The 26,648-nt window shown below is 37.0% G+C and overlaps 1 protein-coding gene across 2 annotated transcripts in view, besides 1 other annotated feature; it reads right to left on the bottom strand.

The window, feature by feature from the left end:
• Positions 1-26,648, bottom strand: part of CNTNAP2 (contactin associated protein 2) — a 2,304,198-nt gene that overhangs the window by 965,624 nt on the left and 1,311,926 nt on the right. The window lies entirely within an intron of this gene.
• Positions 18,156-18,902: an enhancer, noted in NCBI's record as "OCT4-NANOG hESC enhancer chr7:147133565-147134311 (GRCh37/hg19 assembly coordinates)". NCBI's record gives its function as "activates a minimal SCP1, AML or CMV promoter by ChIP-STARR-seq in naive and primed H9 embryonic stem cells {active_cell/tissue: H9 hESC(naive and primed)}" and the evidence as "EXISTENCE:reporter gene assay evidence [ECO:0000049][PMID:30033119]".

Below are 26,648 nucleotides of genomic sequence, written 5' to 3'. Positions count from 1 at the left end.
TTTGTTTACCCCTTATTAAATTGGAGTTATAATAACAAATATATTTTTAGTAATAATTGTACCTTTGTTCTGCTAGTGAAAACATAGATGTGGAAATTACTGTTGTATATCACTAATTCCTGATTTCAGAGTTATTCAATCTATAAAAAGCTGAAGAGAGATTAAGGAACGAAAATGAAAATAAATGAAATAGAAGCTTTGGTGAATCAAGTCTACTTCTTCAATATTAAATTCCTTCTACTTTCAGATATGGTGTACTTAGTATTAATGAAATGGGTGATCAGAAAGTCAAAGTTGAAGACGGGGAAGCATTTCTATCACTAGAGAAAATTATTTCCCAAGGTCCTCAGAAGCATACAAAATGCAAGTTTCCATGGGGCATACCGCCAGCTCTTACACACCAAAAGTAAGATTAAAGACCATGATCCTGTCAAATGGGGGAGTCAGTTTCTCAAATGGAATTTTAAAATACAGATCCTCTACAATGAGCACTGGCAGACCTAGTGTTATTAAAGGTCGTCGGGATCTCTTTTCTTAAAGTTGCAGTGCTGGCAGCTTTATCATGAGCCCTGACCTTTCAGGAATATCTGCTGCAGGACTTTTATTAAAATCCTGTTCACTTTACTCATGTCAGAAAAAAAAAAAGAGAAAGGCTAAGGCGTCTTGAAGGTTAATGGGCTCTGGGAGACGCCTTCTTTTAGACATTTTCATGTTCAGTTTATAAACCATTCAATGCATTGCCTGATGAAACAGCACCAGTTCTGCTTAGATTTTAAGCCCTTAAGTTAAATTTTATTGTATCCTTGAAGTTATAGGGCAAATACTCGGAAATCATAGCTCTGTTGGAAAACTGTCTTAGCAATATTAATAGATTTGTGATTTTGGTCAAATATAAAATGATATACTGAATATATATCCCAAACTGTAATTATAAGACAAAATAAAGAAAATCACAAAATACTGTATAATACAGTAGAAAAGAGCAAAGTCTTGTATGAATAATGACAATTTATAAAACAAGAGGAATGCATAACCTTGGCTGAACACATAGTTTACTTAAACTCGACGTCCTATTGCAAAATAAACAAAATATAAGATTGGAAAACCAACAAAAAGCCACCAAAGAAAATTAATTCCATGTTTGAACTAGAAATGTATGGCATGGGAAAATATTTTAACAAGTGTAAACTAAAGTAAGATTAAACAGAGAGTCAGTGCTTACTTAGCATATATGGGCAGGAAACATTTATTGAATTAATATATGAAAGAACACACCAAAAATTCACAAATCTTTAGTTGATGTAAAACTCTATGTCTAAAACAAATGCAAATGCTTTCAGTTGTAGAATTTTTATTTTATTTTTGCCCCAGTTTTATAAGCCAGTTCCTATAAATAACAAATAAGAGAACATGGCGCATCTTAGGTTTCTGTTTCATAAATTAACACAAATTTTCCCTTTCTCATATAGATACGTGGGAAGAATACAATTCTCAAAAATTCACAATGAAACAGCCACAATTTGGCCTTATTTCCACTTATCATTTAAAAATACATTAAAGAACTTTTGGTGGCATTTTCTTTTTTTTAGCTTTTAAGTTTGGAGTACAAGTGCAGGTTTGTTACTTGGATAAACTTGTGTCATGGGAGTTTGTTGTACTTTAATTCTTAGAACTTATTATTTCAATTCTAGATCTCATCAGTGAAAACAAAAGAATTATTTTCAGGCTCACTTACACGAGTGTTACTGTACAAGTCACTTAAATAATCTGAATTGAGGTTTATTCTCTTTTGAAATGTAGAATATAACGCCTAATTCACATGGTTAGTTGTGAGAACTGAATGTGATAATTTATAGAATTATTGAATAATTCCTGTGAACCAAGCCCTGTGCAAGAATCTAGGAATACAAAGTGCTGAGACCATTTCCTGACTCAAGGAGATCACACCGTAATGGGGAGACCACCTATCACTACAGCAACAGGTACACAATAATGAGAAAAGTATCTAATGGTAACTTCACTTGACTCTCTGAGACAGCAGAAGTCATAGGGAAGCAGGAAGGCCGGTGTCTCTGATTCTTCCTGAAGCACCTGGACTAGGGGAGGCACTACTGTTTGAATGTTTAACAATGAGGAGAAGTTTACCAGGAGGAAAAGGGTTGGTATAAATAGGCAGCTATGAGACCTGCAGAACATGGCATGCTTAAGACAACAAATCTTTCATCTGGCTGAGGAGCAGGCTTTGCCAGCAGGAGAAAGGGAAAAAGAGGGCAAGGAGTATGCCTGCCTTCCATTTCTCTCCCTTTTCTACTTTCTCACATCTTCCTTCTTTCCCTTTCTCTCTTTTTCCCTTTCTCTTTTTTCTTCCTTTCTCCCTTTCTGTTTCTACTTCTTCCCTTCCTCCTTTCCTTCCCCCTCCCTCCCTTTCTTCTCCCTCCCTCCCATTCTATTTTTTCTAGTTTCTCATTCCTTTATATTCTTTGTCTGTCTTCTTTATTTTCTCCCTTCACTCTGTCCCCTTCCTTTCCACATTACTCTACGTTTGTCTTTCTTTACCTTCTATCTCCATTCTGTAACATTTCTTGCATACTTACATATCAGGCAGTAAGCTAGGGAGACCTGATCCCCACCATAATCTAGCAATATCAATGTAATGTAATGACTGATATATATATTAGGTTACACCAAAAGGTGAATTCTTTGCATAAATTATGTTTAGTAACACATCCAATTAGCAGGTACAACTGCCTTTTGTAAAATTTAGCATGAACTTCTTTTCATATGTAAATATTAAAATATTTTCTCCTTATTACTTTTTATTAGTACTACACCAGGCTGATTTATAGGAAACATTTTGATCTGCTTGTTTTGAAATTGTGCTTTTAATTAGATTTAAAGAAATGCCCTAGGTGGTTTTAGAAATCATTTACTAACAATGTACATTATATGAAGGTCATTTCTCATCTATAAAACAAGCATCAAAGTTCTAATTTTAATCACAGTAGAACCATAAACTGTGAACCTGATTATACTCTGTCAAGGCCAGCTACTTTTTGATATAAAATAATGATTTCTCTAAGATGCAATCTGAAAATACTAAGGAGTGGCATGTATAGGACTTGGACAGAGGAAGTTTGAATGTCTATCTGTCTGATATGTGTATTCATATAAAGATAGTTCTATGTAATCCTTTTTAGGGTTTGTCTCTAATATTTGTAGTCGAAAGCCTATCTCAAAACACTCATGTCATTTCATTATTTTTCTACCCATGAATTATACACTATCTTAGTCCATTTCTGCTGCTATAACAGAATACCTGATTCGGGGTAATTTGTAATAGATGGAACTGTATAGGCTCTCAGCTCTGGAATCTGAGAAGTGCAAGATCAAGGGGCCAGCATCTGGCAAGGGCCTTCTTGTTGCCTCTTCCCCTTGCAGATGGTGGAAGAGCAAGAGACGGCAAGAGGTCACCAAACTTGCCCTGTGTCATAGCACATATCCTACCCAGCGGGGTGGAGCTCTAATGACCCAGTCACTTTTTAAAGGTTCCACCTTTTAATATTCTTACAATGGCAATTAAATTTCAATGTGAGTTTTTTTTTTTTTTTTGGAAGAAACAAACATTCAAATCATAGCAACCTCTTTGTAGGAATACAAAGGATTCTTATCCTAGACTGTTAGGGACTGGGAGTTGGGTGGGGATAGGCAAGAAGGTGTGGGAGTTATGATGGGCAGAGCTGTGGCGTCAGAAACCACAGGTTTCAATCCTGGGTCCAGTATGTTTCTAGCTACGTGATCTTGAGAAAGTTTTCTCTGGGCCCTAGTTGTATTATTACTCCCACTGTTTCTCCCATCCAGCTTCAGTTTGGTAAGTCAAGGCAGGGAGGGAGTTTGAATTAAAGAAATAGTGACAAAGTGAGCAGTAAGATAACTACACCAGTTGCTATGTTGTCTGAAATTTGTGAAGCTTAAGTGCAAATTTGGTTCCTTAAGCATATATTCTATGCCAACGAGATATTATTAGTGGTATCCAAAAAATAGAAAATGTGGTTCTTTTACTCAAGAAATTCATAGACTTGTTAAGAAATTGACAAACATATCCCCGAAGGGCTGTATCCTTTCAGTGTCAAGGAGACTCTATGGCTCCAGACTAGTGGGCTCTTGTTTCTATGCAGATTTTTTAGTTGTGTTCTGCAATCATGTAAGGAGACATTAATCCAGAGTAGTTTTTTGCCTCAACAAAGGACCCGTATATTGACTGTCTTATATTGACTCTTCCCTCAGCACGTTGGTAGATAGTGGAAGAAATGAGATATTCCAGCTGAGGGAAGCATATTAGCCAAGGCAAAGAGGCAGGAGCTCTGCATGGCCTGGTCAAAGAACAGTAAGGGTCTGGCCTGGATTTAATGTGGAGTTGTTTCATCCATGAGTGGGATTACAGATCTACTGATGCCAAGTGATGTCCTAGGTACTGAGAATATAAGGAATTAATGTCCAGTTTAATGGAGGTGACAGACAAATACATAGAAAATTATAACATGACAAATGGGAGAACAAATGCAACAAAGTATTAGAGGAGCATCTTTATACAAGAATAGTAAAAATTTTGGTAGGATAAGAAACTTTGGCTTATTAATTTACTGGCATCTTAAAGTCAAAATAAAGGTTTTGAATTTGGTCTGAAACATTGAGAAGACTTGTAGATTTTTACATAGTCAAATGTTAAGATGAATGGAGTCATTTATAAAGGCTGATCTGATGAATATGGCTAGGTGGGAAGGTATCTTCTTTTGCTATTGCTGTATAACAAATTGCCACAAACTCATCAGCTTAAAACCACACAAATTTATTATGTCACAGTTTCTATAGGTCAGGAGTCCATGTGAGCTTGGCTGAGTTCTCAGCTTAGGGTCTCATAAGGCTGAAATCAAGGTTGGTTAGGGTGGGTTCTCATTTGAAGGCACTGGGGAAAAACTCTCTTGCAAGGTAATTCAGGTTGCTGGAAAAATTCAGTTCTTTATTGCTGTAGCATGAGGATAATGTTTCCTGGCTGAATGTGAGCCAGACAGGGCCACTTTCTCTCCTAGAGGCTCCTCATATTGCATCTCACATGGATATCTCCAACTTCAAGTCAGGAATGGCATTTGAGTGCTTCTCATATTTCTAATCTCTATGACTTTCTCTTCTTCCACCAGTGGGAAAAAAACGTTCTTTGCTTTTATAGAGTGATGTGATTACATTCGGCTGATTTGGATAATCTGAAAGTCAGTTGTGCCATATACTATAACATGATCATGGGAGTGATATCTTGTCATAAATACAGGTTTTGGGGATCAGGACAGGACACCCTTGGTTGGGGGATTTACAAATTTTTGCCTACCACAGAAGAATGGGGATTGAAGTGAGAAGGATGTCCCGAAGTGGTAACCACAGAAAATAAAGCAGGCATATGGGAAATCAATTGGACATAGAGTTAATGTGATTGGCTGACAAATTGAATATTGAGGAATCAAAGCTACAAGGGAGAAAAAAGCAGAGAATGTTTGTATTTTCACATCTGAATTTCTAAAACAACTTTAGAATCAAAAACAAGAAACATGTCAAGTCACTTGTGTAGGGAAGAAGAGTTTCCACTGATATCCCTAGCTCCATTCTAAGAATTAGATTCTTTTTTTTCCACCTTAAATCAAACTGACTGGATGTTTATATCTTAGCCTTTTCAACCTTAAACAAATATTTTCCTTATATAAAGCTTTATTGTCTATGTCCTTAATCTGAGACTTCCTCTGAGAAATGGCATTACTGAATTTGATTTCTCCAGTCCTTGAAGTGTAAGCTGTCTTCCACTTTTAACTTTTAGCTGGATAATATCTTATCGTCTACTTCTGAGAGAGGATCAGCTCCGTCTTGCCAGGATAACCATTATAGTCAACTCACTGAGCCCAAGGCAAAGACACGTTGGTTGTAGGTTGCCCACGGGGATAACCTTGGCAGATTTGCATAGTGAGGCCCCACACTAGATGAGAACGTTGCTTGTAGCCATTCTGAGGAATCAAGGAATGCATGAAATGACTCCTCAGTCATGCTTTTGCATTTTATGTTCACATTTCTCTTTGAAGGAATTGGGCTAGTTACAGATAGACTGCAAATGTCTATCACATTTTGCACTTTGCTAAGATTTCTTTTTGTAGGTAATTTAAATAGCCAGAGAACATTTGATGTGGTTACCCTTTCAATAGGTATATGAGTGTTTTACACAGTAAATGATTTATCTTGCCTGTCCATTAGGATTCTCTGCTTTGTGAAAACCAAAGGAAAAGTGCCTTTGGTTAAAGATATTTCTGGTTCATTAGCTTCTTAGAGCATTATAAAATATTAGTGTTTTCATGATTTAGAACTATTTGCAAAAAGATGCTTAGGGTTCTTTTTTATTCAAAGAGTTTATTTATTGAGGCCTTATGTATATAAAAATTATACAAGTAGCAATAGGGGAAATTAACATAACAATAGATTACAATAAAATAAGTCACCCAAGGTTGCCAACTATGTAGACAGAGAGCTAAACCCTAAAGCAATTTTAAAAAAGCAATTTAACTTTATTTTTATAACATAAATTTTCATAAGTATAAATTTTCAGATAGTATACTACCTTGAGTTATTTCATGATGCCTCTCCCCGTCCCTATTATGTTGTGTATATGTATATGACCTAAAATATGAAAATATTTCCTCTATTATTAGAACACTTTTTATTTAGCATCATAGATACTATTTAAAAGGAGATCAGGAACCAATATTTTTGTCAATTGCTTGCCATATACTTGTTCAGTATTTCTAGTAAAATTTACTGATACTAAACAATGGGGGTGCATATATATATATATATATATACACACACACACATATTTGGTTTGTTTTTACTTAGCACTGATTAATGTTTATGTAGCACCCAACTCTAAAGCAAGAAGAATGTCTCAGAATTCTCTAGAATCTTATGCAGATAGATAATCTGGGGAAAAAATACTGCTAACATTTTAAAAATCTCTCTAGTTATAAATTTAAAAATTTAATTTGGAAATCTTAATTGACTCTAATCTAGCACTCTCCAGATAATTCCTCTTCAACATTGTGTTTTTAAGATTAAAAACTACAAACATTAAAAGAATATTTTTACATTTTCAGAAACAGAGGGAAGATGAGGAAAATATAAATACTATATATCACTTTTCATTTGCAAGGTCACCACCATTAATTTAATTGTTAATCAGTTGTGTCATTGAATTCTAGTGTGATTTAATGGCAAAGGGCATCGATTGAAATCCATTGTATTATAAATTGTTACCTTCTTATATTTTAGGAGCTATGCATGATCATGAACCAATTGAGAGGGCCTCCAACACAATAATTTGCCTATAAAAATTGTTTATGTTAAAAGTGCTTTATCATATTTGAGTAGTGGGAAACAATTTTTGTAATGAAACTTGAATTAGGACTTTCTTGATACTAGCCATATTTATAATTTAATTTCCATAATGCCTCATTAACACAAGTGTGTACATATACTATATATACTATATATATTTATTTACATATATTCATTGTAGAATATTAAGAAAAGAAAAATTGTAAAGAAGGCAGCAAAAATTACCCCAAATAGGCTGGGTGCAGTGGCTCATGCCTGTAATCCCAGCACTTTGGGAGCCCAAGGCAGGCAGATCACGTGAGGTCCAGAGTTTGAGGCCAGCCTGGCCAACATGTTGAAACCTCGTCTCTACTAAAATTACAGAAAAAATTAGCTGGGCTTGGTGGCGCGCGCCTGTAGTCCTAGCTACTTGGGGAGGCTGAGACAGGAGAATTGCTTGAACCCAGGAGGCGGAGGTTGCAGTGAGCCACGATTGTGCCACCGCACTCCAGCCTGGGTGACAGAGGGAGACTCCATCTCAAAACAAACCAGCAAGTAAACATAACCCCAAATACTATAACCTTAAATATTGAAGTCACTGTAAATATTTTGGTGTGTTTTTCTATCTTCTTTTCTAAGTATGTTCCTAAACAAATACATATCTATATACAAACATACATATGTATATGTAAGTAGATCTATATATTCACATGTAGAGCATGTACACAAGAGCATGCAGGTGGAAGCTATTTACGCATGCATTCTCTAAAACTTTCTGAAATCTGTCCACTTGTGTGCATCTACTAGCTCCATCATGGTTGAAATAAGCGCCCCTTATCTAGTTCACAGCTGAATCTGTCTCTTCTGAATCTCTTCTTCATATAGAAGTCATAGTAATTAAAAAAAATAAAAATCTGATTGTACTACTTTCCTTCTTTAATGCCTTTTCTTGGCATTCTAATGCACTTGGAATAAAATGGAAAATATTACCATAGTCTGCAAGGCTTTGTGAAATGCAGCCTCTGCCATCTCTTCATCCATAAACCATCCTAGTCCTCTCTTTAACTCTTCTTTAGTCACACTGACCTTGATTTTCTTATCAGACACCCTAAAATTCTTTTAACCTAACATGCTACTTCTTTATGTGGAAAGCATAAGATGTATCTTCTATTATAATTAATGTCCAGAGAAAATATAACATTTTAAACTTTGCCCATAGCTGATTTTGTACTCACCATAAGTCCCTACCAGCTGATGTGAAGAGAAATAATTTAACTGAATACTCACTGTATGTTAAAGCTTAGTCTAATTCAATAATGTAAACAGTCTCTTGAGGTGGTGTTCTTGGGAAAAGTTGTGTCTCTTCTAATTGTAAGGAAGATACAACAGTTAGGTCCTCTCGCAGTCGTGGTTGTAAACAGTGGAAAACTTGGATATGGGTCTCAGGTCTTCAACTTCTTGAACCTCAGTCTACTACTAACTCCATTATTGATGATGTGGACAAATCAAATGTCATTACTTATGGCCCCAGATAACCCAAAAATATTGTTTCAAACCAGCAACCACTTTCAGTGATACACTTAAGGACTCTCCCAGCTAAAAGCAAGAAGAAATTGATCCTATTTCATTTCGATTCATTTCATTTGCAGGAAACCTTAACATAAGCAATGGCATAAGTGGAATTAAAAAGGATGTTAGGAAGGAAGAGTGCCACCTTGGAATCTAGGAAACAAAACATGATAGCTCAAAAGTTAGTGAGGGGTGGGGGGAGGAGAGAGGAGGCCGACAGTGAGAGCAACAGCAAGAGAGAGACATACAGAGACTCACAGGTTAAAAAAAAAAAAAAAAAAGAAAGAAACAAAGAGCAAGTGTGTCTTGCCCTGATCCTTGTGCAACTGACATCTTGTGGACTGTTCTGTGATGGTATGCAGGTGTAGGGTGGTAGGCGATTTATCAGAGTCTTCAGATCCCAAATAAAACATCTCCTACAACCACTCAGAACCTTTGATCACTCTTTAAATTTTCTCCATAGTAGAATCATCTTAAAATTAATGAGGAGGCTGAGCCAGGATGATCACTTGAGCCCACGAAGTCAAGGCTACCCTGAGCCATGTTCATGCCACTGCACTCTAGCCTGAGTGACAGAGCAAGACCCCGTCTCCAAAAAGAAAGAAGAAAGAGAAAGAAAGAAGAAAAAGAGAGAAAGAAGGAAAGAAACATAGATAGACTAATGCAGCTTCTCAGTTATTTTGGTATCATGAACAGAGTATTCTGAAAGGAGAATAAAATAATTCTGGACCCACTTAAATGTATTTTTCATAAGCTAATAAATCAGCATATGCCTGTTGAGAATGTTAATAAAACTAAGAATGACAACTAACATTTGTTAAGTACTTTGTGTCAAGCAGTGTTCTAACACCTTTATCCTCAAAACAGTGCTAAGTACATTTATTTTTGTCCACAACAACCAACAAGGAAACTGAGGCAGGGTATTCTAATATGTCTAACCCACATAAAATACCATGTGAAAATAAAATTTCTAGATCCACAATTTTGGGATCAAATCTGTAATGTGGCGCCCTAACCAAGTGAATCCTACCTGTAAAGGCTCTTTATGAACCACTAGAATGTTCTAGCATTATTGTCTCACTGTTTCATAGGAAATATTTTTTAAATTAATGCTAAAATTCCAAAGTAAAAGATGAAAGGAAGCACCACCATCTGTTATAATAACTTTAAATCATCCATAAAGCAGGAGGGCACCTGTCCCTGCTGAGAGGACAGATCAGGTTAACATTCGGCTAGTCATCTGATATGGTTTGACTTTGTGTCCTTGCCCAAATCTCATGTTGAATTTTAATCCCATAGTTGGGGGAGGGATGTGGTGGGAGGTGATTGGATCATGGGGGCGGATTCTTCTCTTGCTGTTCCCCTGATAGAGTTCTCAAGAGATCTGGTTGTTTGAAAGCATGTAGCACATCCCCCTTCACTCTTTCTCTCTCCTTCCACCATGTGAAGACGTGCTTGTTTCCCTTTTACCCTTCCACCATGATTATAAGTTTCCTGAGGCCTCCCAGCTATGCTTCCTGTACAGCCTGTGGAACTGTGAGTCAATTAAACCTCTTCATAAATTACCCAGTCTCAAGTAGTTCTTTATAGCAGTGTGATAACGGACTAATACATCATCCTTTACTTTCACTCACTTTCCATACCTGTGCTTTCCTCCTGCACTTGCTATCTCCCTGGTTCCTCTTTGGCTCTTGCCCAATAATTCCTCTCATCTCATTGGCATGGAGTTTTTTGGAACATATTTATTGTCAATAATCTATGCAGAGCAACCCCTTCAGAGAACCTGTAATTCCAACAACCTAAAAAAATAAAATTTAGTGGTTTTAATTTCACTCTTAGTGACTAAGGGGAATGATGCTAGTAAAAAAAAAAAAAAAAAGAAAATTTAATTAGACTAAAAGAAATACGTTATGAAATTTCTAAAGCAAACAAAATTTTTCTTATATAAAATACTAAAGAATATAATGTAAGCTTTAGAATTCTCTAGCCATTTTATGAAATATTTTCACTGATTTCCATTTTTGAGGATAGGTGTTTACAGAAAATTATTTTAAACCTATGCCAAAAGGCTGGCAACTTGTTTTATCTCATCTTGGGCTTCATTTTGTTGATCTCTTGTGTTCTCAAATTGCCACGGGCTTTGGCCAGTTGTTACACAGTTTTTCTTTGTTGGAAAAGCGATAAGGTTAATGACTGCTATGTTTTCCTAACCATGTTCCTAATCTAGCAATTTTGCCCCTTAAAGGGTAAAATAGATTCACTATCAACATATAAATAATAATTTCCCAGGGACCTTCAAACAGATGATTAATGCCCTTGCCTTTGGGTGTCTGTTCTTTTAAGTGACTGATAGGAACAAAACCAAGACCATACAAAAACCTTTTTACTGGGAATAGAAAATGTGAATGGTGCATAGGAGACTGAGATCCAAAGAAGAATGAAAGCAAACCAAACTCAGGAATCAGTAGCAAACAAATGTAGCTGGCAAATTTCTACGTCTTGGAGGAGATAATCTTCCTGAAATAGAATCACAGCCAGTTGCTTTGCTAACAAATAACTGCAGTGTTTATTTGAACACTGTATTTGGATTATGCTCTTTTTAATGTTTTAGGATTGGTAAATGTGAAATTGCATATTAAAGGAAACATAAAGTCACAAACATATCTCTACACACACTTACCCATGTCTGGAAGGCCTATACAGAAATTTAATGCTTAAAATGTTGCCATATGCTGGAATGCTAGAATCTAAAAAGAGCTAAAAAAATGTTACAAATTAGAGGGCAGAGCAAGAAGCCTCTACCGATCATCCCCCTACTAGGACACCGATTTAACAACTATCTACAGAGAGAAGCACTTTCCTAAGGACCAAAAACCAAATGAACACTCGCAGTGCTGGATTTTAACTTCCTATTATTGAAAGAGTCACTCAGAAGGAGAAAAAAAAATAGTCCTTACTTGCCTATTCAGGACTATTGCCACTAATTGCCATGACGACACCCCTCCACCACCTGCAGGCAGTGGCAGCATGGGTGAGGAGAGCATTTCCATGTGCTGAGGAGAGAGACAGCGTGCAGCAATTTCAGTCATTGGACTCAGTGGTGTCCTGTTATAGCAGAAAGGAAAACCAGATCAAACTCCGCTGACACCCACCCATGGAGGGACCATTTAAACCAGCATTAGCCAGAGGGGAATCACTGATCCCAGTGGTCAGTGCTTGAGTTCCCACAAGCCTCACTACTGCTGGCTAAAGTGCCCTGAGGCCCGGCCCTAAATAATCTTGAAAGGCAGTATAGGCCATGAAGACCGCAACTCCTAAGTCCTAGTGCTGAACTGGGCCCAAACCCAGCTGACTGGGGGTGAGGGTGGGGCACACAACCTCCTGAGATGCTATCCAGGGTGGCTAAAGGAGTGCTTGCACCACCTCTCCCCTAATTCCAGGCTGTACAACTAACTGCTCCAAAAGAGACCCCTTTTCTCTGCTTGAGGACAGGAGACAGAAGACTGGAGAAGATTTCGTTTTGCCTCTTGGATAGCAGCTCTTCTATAGCAGGATAGGGCAGCAGTCAGAGTCATGAGGCCCCCTTTCCAGGCCCTACCTGCAAGATAACATTTCTAGACATACCCTGGGCCAGAGAGCAACCTTCTCATTCGAAGGAAATGACCCAGTCCTGACAGGATTTATTCACCCTGGTAACTGAAGTGTCCTTGGGCTCAAATAACCAGCAGCAATACCTGGTACTACACTGAGGGCCTTGGGTGAGATTCACACTTGCTGGCTTCAGGTGAGACTCAGCACTTTTCCAGCTATGATGGCTATGGGGTGAGACTTCTGCTTAAGAAAGGCAGAGGGAAAAGCAAAGGGGATTTCATCTTGCATCTTAGGTACCAGCTCAGCCACAGGAGAGTAGGGCACAAAATGGGCTCTTGGAGTCCCTAATTCCAGCACTTGGCTCCTGGATGAAATTTCTAAACATTTCCAGGGTCAGAGGGGAGCCCACTTCCCTGAAGGATGAGTCCCAAACCAGGCAGCATTCACCACAAGCTGACTTAAGAGTCCTTGGACCTCAATGGAACATTTTTGGTAGGCTGGAAGTATTCACTGAGGACCTGTAGTGGCAGTGGCCATGAGCTGAGGCTCCTTTGCCTTTGGAAAGGGGAGAGAAGAGTGGGAAGGACTGTATCTTGTGGTTTGAGTGCCAGCTCAGCTGCAGGACAAAAGAGGACAAAGTAGACATTTAAGTTTGTTGACTCTAGTCCCTGGCTCACAGACAGCACATCTGAACCCACCCAGGGCCTAGGGGAACTTGCAACCCTGAAGTGAAGGACACAGTCCTAGATGGTTTTGCCCCCTGCTGAGTCCCAGGGCCTTGAGGAAACATAGGCAGTAGCCAGAGAGTGATTACAACAGATGCTGCGTAGGACCCAGTGCTGTGCTGGCTTCAGGTCCACCTAGTGGTGGTTGCCATAGGGGTGCTTACGTCATTCCACTCCCAGCTCCACGTGGCTCAGAACAGAGAGAGACGGAGGGAGGGAGGGAGGGAGGGAGGGAGGGAGAGAGAGAGAGAGAGAGAGAGAGAGAGAGAGAGAGAAAGAGACTACATTTGGTTGGAAGAAAGTAAGGGAAGAGAACAAGAGTGTCCATCTGATAATCCAGAGAATTCGCCCAGGTCTTCTTTAAGACGATCAAGATGAATCTGTATGAGTCTGCAAGAACCATAGTGTTACTGGGGTGCTCCCTAAATAAGGAACAGCTTAGATCACAGCACCCAAGTAATTTCAAATACCTGGAAAGCCTTCCCAAGAAGGACGGGTACAAACAAGCCAATACTGCAAAAACTACAATAAATACCTAATTCCTCAATGCCCAGACACAAATGAACATCTACAGGTATCAAGACAATCCAGAAAAAGATGACCTCACCAAATGAACTAAACAAGGAATCAGGAACCAACCCTGGAGAAACAGAGATATGTGACCTTTCAGACAGATAATTCACAAATAGCCGTTTTGAGGAAACTCAAAGAAATTCAAGATAACACAGAGAAGGAATTCAGAATTCTATCAGATAAATTTAACAACAAGATTGAGATAATTAAAAAGTTAAGCAGAAATTCTGGAGCTGAAAAATGCAACTGACATACTGAAGAATGCATCAGAGTCCTTTAATAGCTGAATTGATCAAGCAGAAGAAAGAATGAGCTTAAAAACAGGCTGTTTGAAAATACACGGAGGAGACAAAAGAAAACAAAAAGAATAAAGCATGCATATAGAATCTAGAAAGTAGCCTCAAAAGGGCAAATCTAAGACTTATTGGCCTTAAATACAAGGTAGAGAAATAGACAGGGGTAGAGGGTTTATTCAAAGACACAATAAAAGAAAAATTTCCAAGCCTAAAGAAAGATATTAATATCCAAGTACAAGAAGATTATCGAACAACAAGCAGATTTAACCTAAAGAAGACTACTTCAAGGCTTTTAATAATCAAACTCCAAAAGCTCAAGGATAAAGAAAGGATCCTAAAAGCAGCAAGAGAAAAGAAACAAATAACATGCAACGGAGCTCCAATACCTTTGAGAGCAGACATTTTATTGGAAAACTTACAGGCCAGAAGAGAGTCGTATGACATATTTGAAGTGCTAAAGGAAAAAACCTTCACTCTAGAATGGTATATCTGGTGAAAATATCCTTCGAACGTGAAGAAGAAATAAAGATTTTTCCCAGACAAACAAAAGCTGAGGGATTTCATCAATACCAGATCTGTCCTGCAAGAAATGCTAAAGGGAGTTCTTCAATCAGAAAGAAAAGAATGTTAATGAGCAATAAGAAATCACCAAGAGGTACAAAACTCACTAGTAAGTACACAGAAAAATAGAATATAACATGGTAACCATGATGTATAAACTACTTTTATCTTAACTAGAAAGACTAAATGATAAACCAATCAAAAATAATAACTACAACTACTTTTGAAGACATATGGTACAGTGTGATATAAATAGAAACAACAAATAGTTAAAAACCAGGGGACGAAATTAGGGTGTAGAGCTTTTATTAGTTTTCCTTTTGCTTGCTTGTTTATGCAAATGATGTTAAGTTGTTATCAGCTTAAAATAATGGGCTATAAGATAGTATTTGCAAGTCTCATTATAACCAGAAGTAAAAAAACACACAACAGATACACAGAAAATAAAAAACAAGAAACTAAATTATATAATCAGAGAAAATCACCCTCACTAAAAGGAAGACAGGAAGGAAACAAGGAAGAGAAGACCACAAAACAACAACAAAAAAGAAAGAACAAAATGGCAGGAGTAAGTCTTTACTTACCAATAATAACATTGAATATAAATGTACTAAACTCTCCAATGAAAAGAAGTGGCTGAATGGATGAAAAAAGAGGACCCAATGATCTGTTGCCACATTTCACCTATAAAGACACATGTAGACTGAAAATGAAGGGATGGAAAAAGATATTCCACGCCACTGGAAACCAAAACAAAAGTAGGAGTTACGATTCTTATACCAGACAACATAGATTTCAAGATTAAAACTATAAGAAACAAAGGTCATTCTATAATGATAAAGGGGTCAATTCAGCAAGAGGATATAACAATTTTAAATATATATGCACCCAACATTGGAGCACCCAGATATATAAAGCAAATATTATTAGAGCTAAAGAGAGAGGTAGTCCCCAGTACAATAACAGCTGGAGATTTCAACACCCCACGTTCAGAATTGGACAGATCTTTCAGAGAGAAAATCAACAAAGGAACATCAGACTTAATATATACTATAGACCAAATGGATCTAATAAATATTTACAGAACATTTCATCCAACGGCTACAGAATGTACATTCTTTTTTTCAGACCATGAATAATTCTCAAGGATTGACCATATGTTAGGTCACAAAACAAGGCTCACAACATTAAAAAAATTGAAATAATATCCAGCATCTTTTCTAACCACAATGGAATAAAACTAGAAATTAATGACAAGAGCAATTTTGGAAACTATACAAATGCATGGTTAAACAATATGCTCCTGAATAACCAGTGGGTCAATAAAAAAATTAAGAAAATTGGAATTTTTCTGAAGCAAATGATGATGGAAACACAACATACCAAAACCTATGGTATATGACAAAAGCAGTACTAAGAGGAAAGTTCATAGCTATAAGTGCCTACATCAAAAAATAAGAAAAACTTCAAATAAACAACCTAACAATGCATCTTAAAGAACTGGAAAAGCAGGAACAAACCAAACACAAGATTAGTAGTAGAAAATCAATGGTAAAAATCAAAGCAGAAATAAATAAGATTGAAATGAAGAAAACAATACAAAAGACCAATGAAATAAAAAGTTGGTTTTTTGAAAAGTTAAACAAAATTGGCAAACTTTTAGCCAGACTACAGAAAAAGAGAGAAGATGCAAATAAATAAAATCAGGATGAAAAAGGAGACATTATAACTAATACCACAGAAATTCAAAGGATTATCAGTGGCTACTATGAGCAACTATATGTCAATAAATTGGAAAAATCTAGGGAAAAAAATGGACAAATTCCCAGACACATACAACCTACTGAGATTGAACCACAAATAAATTCAAAACCTGAACAGACTAGTAACAAGTAATGAAACTGAAGCATAATAAAAAGTCTCCCAGTAAAAAAAGCCCGGGACTTGATGGCTTCACTGCTGAATTCTACCAAATATGTAATGAAGAACTAGTAGCAGTCCTACTCAAACTATTCTAAAAAATAGAGGAAGAGAGAAATAGTTCCAAAATCACTGTATCATGCCAGTATTACCCTGATTCCAAAACCAGACAAAGACACATGAAAAAAATAAAACTACAGGCCAATATCACTCATAAAAATTGATGCAAAAATCCTGAATAATAGCAAACCAAAAAAAAAATAATTCACCATGACTAAGGGGGATTTATCCCTGAGATGCAGGGATGATTCAACATATGCAAATCAATGTGATACATCATATCAACAGAATGAAGGCCAAAACCGTATAATCATTTCAACTGATGCTGAAAAATTATCTGATACAATTCAGCATTCCTTTTATGATAAAAACTCTCAAAAACTGGGGATAGAAGGAACATATCTCAGCATAATGAAAGCCATATATGACAAACCCACAGCTAGCATCATATTGAATGGGGAAAAACTGAAAGCCTTTCCTCTGAGATCTGTAACATGACGAAGTTGCTCATTTTCACCACTATTATTTAATGTAGTAATGGAAGTCCTAGATAAAACAATCAGACAAAAGAAAGAGATAAACGGCATTCAAATTGGAATGGAAGAAGTCAAATTATCCTTGTTTTCAGATAGTATGATCTTATATTTGGAAAAACCTAAAGACTGCACACAAAAAAACTATTAGAACTGATAAATTATGTAAAGTTGCAGGAAACAAAATCAACATTAAAAATTAGTACCATTTCTATATGCCAACAATGATCAATCTTAAGGAAATGAAAGATCTCTATAATGAAAAGTATAAAACACGAAAGAAATTGAATAGGACACCATAAAATGGAAAGTATTCAATTTTTATGGATTGGAAGAATCAATATTGTTAAAATGTCCATACTACCCAAAGCAATCTACAGATTCAATGCAATTCTTATCAAAACATCAATGGCATTCTTTACAGAAATAGAAAAATATCTTAACATTTGTATGGAACCACAAAAATACCCAGAATAGCCAGAGCTATCCTGAGCAAGATAACAAAATTGGAGGAATCACCTGACTTTAAATTATACTACAGAGCTATAGTAACCAAAATGGCCTGGTACTGGCATTCAAGTGGACAAACAGATCAATGGAATAGAATTCAGAAACCAAAAACAAATTTATACACCTACTATGAAATGTTGGACAAAGATGCCAAGAACCTACACTGGAAAAAAGACATTCTGGAATATTAGAATCTAAAAAGAGCTGAAAGGAATGTTACAAATAAAGAAAATTCCCTAAAATAAAATAAAGCAAAAGTCATTTGGCCCATATGGTTAAAGGACAGGGTTTAGCTAGATGGACTTTCAGAAAAAGCTCTATGCAGCCCAGTGTCATAAATTGGGCCTCACAGTATACTTGCAAGTAACATCAAACTACATACTTTCCAATTTCACACTGTCTCCTCTTTATTTCATTCCACCTCATTATCATAAATGTAGGAATTAGATATTCACAGTATATCAGCAATCCCTCTGGTGTTGGCTTCTTTCCAAGTGTGTCCAGGCCACATACTAGTTCCGTGATTAAAACTATGTGAAAACCAAGTGTTCACCGAGACCAAGATGGCCTTAGCAGTTCCCTCAGCTGGACTAAACTTTATACAGGCTTCCTCCTGACTCTAGGTCCCTAACTTCCCTTTCTTAAAGCATTTACTTTAGAAAACAAGTAATTGAAACTCTTTCTTTGCCCGATTGAGATGTAAACCTTTTTTTAAAGCTTCTTGTCAGTTTTAAAACCCTGGAATGTTTTCCTTAAGCACCCAGGAGCCATCACTTTGAAATAAAAGCATTAAAGGGATACAGTCTACACCTGAGTGTGGGTGGGAGCCTAACTTCAAAGAGCCTTGCTCTAAGTTGTAAAACTACCTCCTGTCATGAAGATAGGAGAAAATTTACTTCATCTGTGGGTAAAGCCAATTAGCAAGCACAAATGGCCTACACAGATTCTCCCATCCCAGCTCTTAAAAACTCTTCATCCCTTTGTTTCAGTGGAGTTGAGCTCAGGCTGAGTTACAGCCTCTCTCTTCTGTTACAATAGTTTTGAATAAAGCCTCTCTTGCCTATGTAACTTTGCCCAGTGTAATGTTTGCTTTGACCAGGTGTATTCTGAGTTTATCTTGTAATTTTCACACTCATCTGCTTTTTGTTTTCTTATTGTTTTTTAGTCTGTTTATTCCCTTTTGAAATAAGTGGATTTTCTCAGGCCATATTATAGTTAGCCATGATTTTCATAACTCTGATATAACATCAAATTAAAAATTTTTAACTGAAATTTAAAATTTCTGGAATAAATTTATTTAATTATATTTCTTGAACCAAACAAGAATGACAAAAATAACAACAAAAACTTCTTGTTGATGTTTTTCAAGAGAGAAGGTTCCCTGGCTAGTTAATAAGGGTATCTAACCTAATTGGTATATGTGATGTTGCTTTAGGAAGAATAAACTATTCAGCGGCTTAATTAAATAATGAAATAAGACCTCTTTATTCTTCTAGTAGCTTATAATCTTATTTCAGTTGCCCAGGTGGGGCTCCTCTGTAGGATGAAGCTGGAGAGGGCCCCATGACTACTCTGGCACCATTGTTGTTTACGTTTAAATGATAAATTGGGATATTTGAATGGTCACATGAAACTTTTAAATCCTTATAAGGTTTAACTATCCAAAAAATAAAAGAAATGAAAAACAAAACCACTGTAATAAGAAATAAGGAGTAAAAAGAGAGATAAGTTTTATTACATACTTATAATTTGCCAGGCACTTTCTCCAATGCATTATGTGTGTTATTTTGAAAATCCTAATAGCAATACTAGCAATAGGTGCTATTATTCCTATTCTACAGATGAAGACACCATGGCCCTAAGAATATAAATACCTGCCTCAAAATGACACAATTAATAAATGGCAGAGCTTGGATTTGATAACCTAGGAAGGAGCTCGGCACCACACCCAACGTGTTTAACTGTTTCACAACAGTAGCGTCTAGGCTTGCAGCCTATAAACATTAGAAATTAGAACATTGGATGGAATAAGGCAAATTATACAAAACTACCTAAAATGGCCAGGTCTCCAATAACAGCCTTGCTAAGTCACAAACATTCTTGTGTATGAAGAAATGTTTTTGTCTGCTTCTTGCTGCAATCCATGGATATATAGTCTCAGATCCTAATGCCTAAGGCAGTGATTCTCCAAGTGTGGTCAGTATCACCTGGTTATATGTAAGACGGGGAAAATTCTCCTACTCTAGCAATCAAGCCCTCCTGGTGAGTCTAGGCTTGCTCAAGTTCCAGAATCACCGGTCTAAGGTGAATCTTGGCAGAGATCCTTACCTCTGCTGCTGTGATGGCTCTCGTGCAGTTATTATCTTAATAATACCCTGCAATGATTTGTAGATTTCCAACCTGCAGTGGGCTCTACTCATTTATTGTGACAAAACTTATAGGGACTCTGCCTTTTCTGAGCACAATTTGGTCTTCAAGACCAAGAAAGTTACATTTCAAAATCTTGGCATTTCCTGTGTTACCCAGAGCAGGGTTTGTACAAAATGCTTCCTTCAGATCTCTGTGTTGTATGAATCAATATAACGATCGCCATTTTTCACTGTCCTGTTGCCTCAAATTCAGAAAATAAAGCTACTGAGGAAATCTGTATGAATTTGGTGCACCCCCACCTCAACCCTCACACACAAATACCTGAACCACAGGAAAGACAAAAGATGATGTGTGGCATGAGAGTTGAAACAGAGGCCAAGTCTTTTAGGTTACTGCCACAGTCTAAAGAGGAGGAAGAGGAGTCTGGGCAGCATAGTCTGCACAGCTTAGTCTGCGCAGCATAGCAGACCATGGCGAACTTACTTAAAGTGCTGTGACTTCCAAGAGGAGCAGGTGCTCCATGTACAACTAAAGCTACAGAACACTAAAGAAACCACTTAACTTACTTTTAGTCCACTCTTTTAGATAAGCAAAACCAGCTTTCATACCTGGTTGTCAGCATCTCATCAACATAGGCAAATCAATTATATGCAGAACAAGACTATCCTTAATTGTATTTGTTTAAAGTCCATATACAATTAATACATGTAGACGGAAGATATTATGAGCCTTTAAATATTATTCTTGATTTCTTTTTCCTTCGGAAAAGTGCTAGACAATTCTATCTCTCTATATACAAATTAGAAGGGAGTGTTCAAACAGTAAAATGAAATAGATACATAATTAATTCAATATCTTGGTAGACAATATTTCAATTTTGATTTTGAAATAATCCTGGAGAGGCCTTTAGAAATACACTACAAACGTGAGGAAAATAGGGTTTTTGAGTGGTCACACACTAGGTCCTATTTTCATATATCTACTTTAAACTGAAGAATAGAAATCAACATAATTATTAACTGGAATGGTACAATATTTTCTCAAGATATTAATCTCAGCAATTGTGGTACAGAATACTACAACTATTAGCAAATAGAGTGCATAACCTTGAACAGGAAACCCAGTTGAATAGGCATCAAGAACATATTTCTTCACTTTCTATGCTCAGTTCTAACCTTGCAGGCTCTGTGACATTCAGTAAGCCTCAACAAAGCTCCTTCATTTTTTTTCCTATTAAGCTTGGATTATTTTAGAGGACTGATAAGGTATTTATACAAAGTAGAAAAAGCTTCTGAATACTTTAAAATGCATGTATTATTTAAAAGGACAACAAAGCACTGCTATTTTAATATATACTAATTTCATTGTTCTAAGACATCTGAACATGTCAAAATTTTGTCATTGTTCCTACCAAGGTCATACAACAAGACATATCAAAGAAAATAAGTTCCTTTTCGATTTTGATATTTTGACTTTCTTTTAGACATTCACAGAGTTCCAGGTAGTAACATAGCTCTGTCTACCCACAGGCAGTTTGAAAACACCCACAGGCACTCATTTTTTTGTAGTTCGTAGGACACGGAGGAGAAACCTTGTTCACAACAAATTTTGATTGATCTGAAAATATGAAAATCCTAAAATAGGTGGAAAATTTCATAGGTAACATTACATTCCAATATAAAATTCACAACTTGTCCTCCTCAGTCATCAACACTTTTGCCTGAAAGGTCTCTTTTTTATTGATTTACAAAGCAAATATGAGTCTTCACTCTTATCACCAAGAAGTTGTCCCAGAGTGCCCTGCAGATAACAGTCCTTTCTTCTCAAGATCCAAAAGTAAAGCAAACACGCTGTGACCAAATGAACTACTATAGATTGTCTACAACTTTATCCCAACTCCAATCAGTTTCAGGCAGAATTTTCAATTGAAAATCCATGTCATATTGTGAGGTAGAGAAAAATAATAATGCATTTATCGCCTAAACAAATTTGTCTTAAAATGAATGCAAATTATTCGCCCACGGAACTTAACAACTCTGAAAAAATAGTATTTTAGAGGATGATGGTTGAAGATTTAAAAATTATGATATAAAAGAGGCGTCACGACACAGGGGAAAGATTCAGCACTCTGCGGATGGCCACTATAACAAGGACATTTTTTAGTGCAATGCTGATTTCAAATGTCCTGTGCTGCTGGTGAGCCAGGTAGCAGTCCTTGTGCCTGATTATCTACCTTTCTGTTTTGAAATGAATCATACATGTCACTGCCAGGCACCAGTGTTTTAGAGCTTATGTGTTACATCCTTGTTAAAGGCTATTGGGTGTGATAAATATTCAAATAACCATGCGAATGCATATTTAATCATAAACTTAGGTAAGTGCCAGTGAAGGAAAGCAGCACAGCTCTAAGAGTGCATGAAAACCTAAAGGGCTTTGGGGTTTAGGAAAGGCCTCTGTAGGGAGGTGATGTCTGGGCTGTGTTTGCAGGATGAAGGGGGGTTAAGTGAAATGGGCAGGATGTTCCAGAAAGAACACTGGGTGACACTGGATGACAGGAGGAGCATATGATTTCAAAAAACACTGTGACTGTGGTTGGGAGATTAGGAGGATGAGAGGAGAGAAATTGTGTGGAAATATGCTGGAACTATCAGCAAGGTCCAAATGGGGTTTCTTGGTGCTCACTGGACAAATCTTTGCTGGGCAAATTTTGTGAAGCATATTTTAGATAACCAATGAGACTCACAACATGTAGCTAATGTGGGAAGTAGTGATATTGATAAATAATACTTAATGTCATACACTTTGGGCATACAACTGAACTAATAATTTCCTTGGTAGAAAACTTCAGCATGATTTCTATTTTTTAAAAAACACAGCTTTGTCTCTTATCTTCCTTCTAAAGCTGCGATTCTCAGTAAGGGCTGATTTGGCCTCCTTATCCCTCCCAAGAGCTATTTGGCAATGTCTGGACACAATTTGCTTGTCACAACTGGAGGGGGTGCTATGCCATCTAGTGGGTATAGGCCAGGAATGCTCACCAAACATCTCACAATGCACAGAGACCCCCACAGCAGGAAATTATGTAGCTCAAAATGTCAATAGGGCTGAGGTTAAGAAACTCGGTTCTAAAGTGTTTTAACAATTTAAAGAGTTTTCCATGGTCTCTTGACCTAATGCACAAGATAGATATTTGTGAATTTTCCTACACAGAAAACAAGGGGCGCAGGTCAGATTTCAGGATATAAGAAATGGGAAATGCATTTGAGATGCATGTTAAACAAACCCAGATATACTGAAAGGCAAGTCTTCACTGGGAATTAAATTTGGGAGTTTTTAGAGTACTCAGAAATCAAATCCATGGAAGAAGTTAAAGAACAAAGAGAAAGTGCTTAGTGCAGAGCCTTCAGGAACTTCTAATTGCCAACTAGGTAAAGGAGAATAAGCCTAGAAAAGGAAATTAGCAGGGGCAGGCAGAACTCAAAAAGATAGAGAAAAACAAGAGTGGGATGTCATGGAAACCAACATAAGAAATTGTTTCAAGAAAGATAAACTGATTTACAGTGCCAAACATATCCCAGAGAAAAAAACAAGGAGAGGACTGAAAAGTCTATTTTATTAAGAGACATGGCGGTCATTAGTGACCTTTGTGGAGGGCTGTCTTGGTTGAGTGATGGAGGTGAAAGCCAGATTGGAGCGGTCCAGGATTAAGTGGCAGTGTGGAGCTAGAGACAACTCTTGTACAAGTCTTTATTGTAAAGAGAAGCAGAGGTTGTAGGGGCACATGTGTGAAATCAAGATTAATATGGGACAGACTCAAGTATGTTTAAAGGCTGATGGCAGTGATTTGGTTTGAAGCTAGCAGTGCAATATACAGGGAAAAGTTTATAGTTTAAAGTTTCTCAGAAGCTATTAAAGGGACAGGTTCCAAAAGAGATAGAGAGACACCATCTCTATTGTCACAGGAGGGAAAGAATAAGAAAATTTATTGATTGTTTTACATGGAATTCATTAAAGGTTTGTGACCAGATATGTAAGAAGAAATATTTATCAAATAAAAGAAAAATGAGAAGTGGTTGACATTAATCACTTTTCAATTGCTCAAACCAACCTAATCATGAATTCAACAAGCCAGTCATACCATATGACCTGCGCTTCTCCTAACCTTCTGTTGCCCATGCTGTTCCCTTCATCCCATGTATCTTTTTTTTTTTTTTTGAGATGGAGTCTCACTCTGTCGCCCAGCCTGGAGTGCAGGAGGGGCGTGATCTCGGCTTACTGCAAGCTCCGCCTCTCAGGTTCACGCCATTCTCCTGCCTCAGCCTCCCGAGTAGCTGAGACTAGGCCCGGCTAATTTTTTGTATTTTCAGTAGAGACGGTGTCTCACTGTGTTAGCCAGGATGGTCTCGATCTCCTGACCTCGTGATCCACCCACTTTGGCCTCCCAAAGTGCTGCGGTTACAGGTGTGAGCCACTGTGCCCGGCTCCTTCAACCCATGTATCTTACCTACTCTGAGTTCTCTGGGAATGTTTCTCTGCACCCTATAATGCTCCCTCCTCCTCTGTGTCCTAGTTGGACTCATCATAATGTACTGTAATTATTTCTTTACTGTTTAATTGCTGCACTAGACTATGATCTCCTTCAGGGCATGCTCACATCACATGTAGAGCACTGGTGGGTGGTGCCTGGCAAAGACAGTTGATAAACACTTGCTGAGGGGATTAGTTTTCCTCTTTATTTTTCAGGTAAACATCTTCCCATTGGATTGCTAGCTTGTACTGGCAAAAGATATATGCACATGTACCTCTGAGAATACTTTTGAATAACCTCTTAGAATACAGGTTTCTCTAAGTATCTTCACTGAACAGATGGGTTAATCCTGAGATGGTTAGAAAAACCAGTTAAATAGGAATTCTGCTAACTAAAAGCCAAAATTTTGTAATCAAGCCAATTAACTGGGTCATTATCAAATCTCTTTCTTCCTAGGCTGTGACCTCATAGAAGGCAGAAACTTCTTCTAGCTAAATATATAATGCATTTGTCAAAATGTTTACTTAGAAAATAATTGTATTTGGCTCATGGTGAGTTGAGAGGGAAAATGGGATGAGAACACAAGAATAAATAGATTCATGTTTCTGACACCAAATATCTATTTCCTGCTTTGACATCTAGCATATACAACTAAGTCAAACAATCCTAAAATTAATATGAAACCAAAAAAGACCCCACATAGCCAAAGCAAGACTAAGCAAAAAGAACAAATATGGAAGCATCACATTACCCAACTTCAAACTATACTACAAGGCTATAGTTACCAAAACAGCAAGGTACTGGTATAAAAACAAGGATGTACACCAATGGAACAGAATAGAGAACCCAGAAAAAAAGCCAAATATTTACAGCCAACTGATCTTTGACCAAGCTGACAAAAACATAAAGTGGGGAGAGGATACCTTATTAAACAAATGGTGCTGGAAAAATTGGTAAGCCATATATAGAAAAATGAAACTGGATCCTCATCTCTCACTTTATACAAAAATCAACTCAAGATGGATCAAAGACTTTAAGATGTGAAACGATAAAAATTCTAGAAGATAACATCAGAAAAAACTCTTCTAGACATAGCTTAGGCAAAAAGATCATGACCAAGAACCAAAAGCAAATGCAACAAAAACAAAGATAAACAAATGGGATCTAATTAAACTAAAAAGCTTTTGCACAGCAAAAGAAATTATCAGCAGAGTAAATAGACAACCCACAGAGTGGGAGAAAAGCTTCACAAACAATGCATCTGACAGAACCTACAAGGAACTCAAATCAACAAGAAAAAAACAAATAATCTCATCAAAAAGTGGACTAAGGACATGAATACACAATTCTCAAAAGAAGATATACAAATGGCCAACAAATATATGAAAACTTGCTCAATATCACTAATTATCAGGGAAATGCATACCAAAACCACAATAATATACCACCTTACTCCTGCAAGAATGGCCATAATTTAAAAAAATCAAAAAATGACAATCTGCAATTGCAAAAATAAGGAAGACTAAATATCCATTGACCAACAAGTGGATAAACAAAATGTGGTGTATATATATATATATATATACACAAACACACACCATGGAATACTACTCAGACATACAAATGAATGAAATAATGGCATTCACAGAAATCTGGATGGAGATGGAGGCCAACATTCTAAGTAAAGTAATTCTGGAATAGAAAAATCAAACATTGTATATTCTCACTTATAAACAGGAGCTAAGCTATGAGGATGCAAAGACTTAAGAATATTATAATGGGCTTTGGAGAATCGGGAAAGAGTGGGAGGGGGATGAGAGAGAAAAAACTACACACTGGGTGTACTGTACTCTGCTCAGGTGATAGGTGCACATAAATGTCAGAAATTACCCCTAAATATCTTTTCCATGTAACCAAACACCACCTGTTCCCAAAAAACTACTGAAATAAAACAACAGCAACAAAATCACAACCTTAGAAGAGCAGGTATTACAAAAGTAGGACATAAAAC

This window comes from Homo sapiens, chromosome 7, assembly GCF_000001405.40.
Source record: "Homo sapiens chromosome 7, GRCh38.p14 Primary Assembly".
In the NCBI taxonomy this organism is placed as follows: Eukaryota; Metazoa; Chordata; class Mammalia; order Primates; family Hominidae; genus Homo; species Homo sapiens.
The sequence above is the reverse complement of the archived record's forward strand: the minus strand, read 5'-3'. Positions and strand labels throughout refer to the sequence as shown.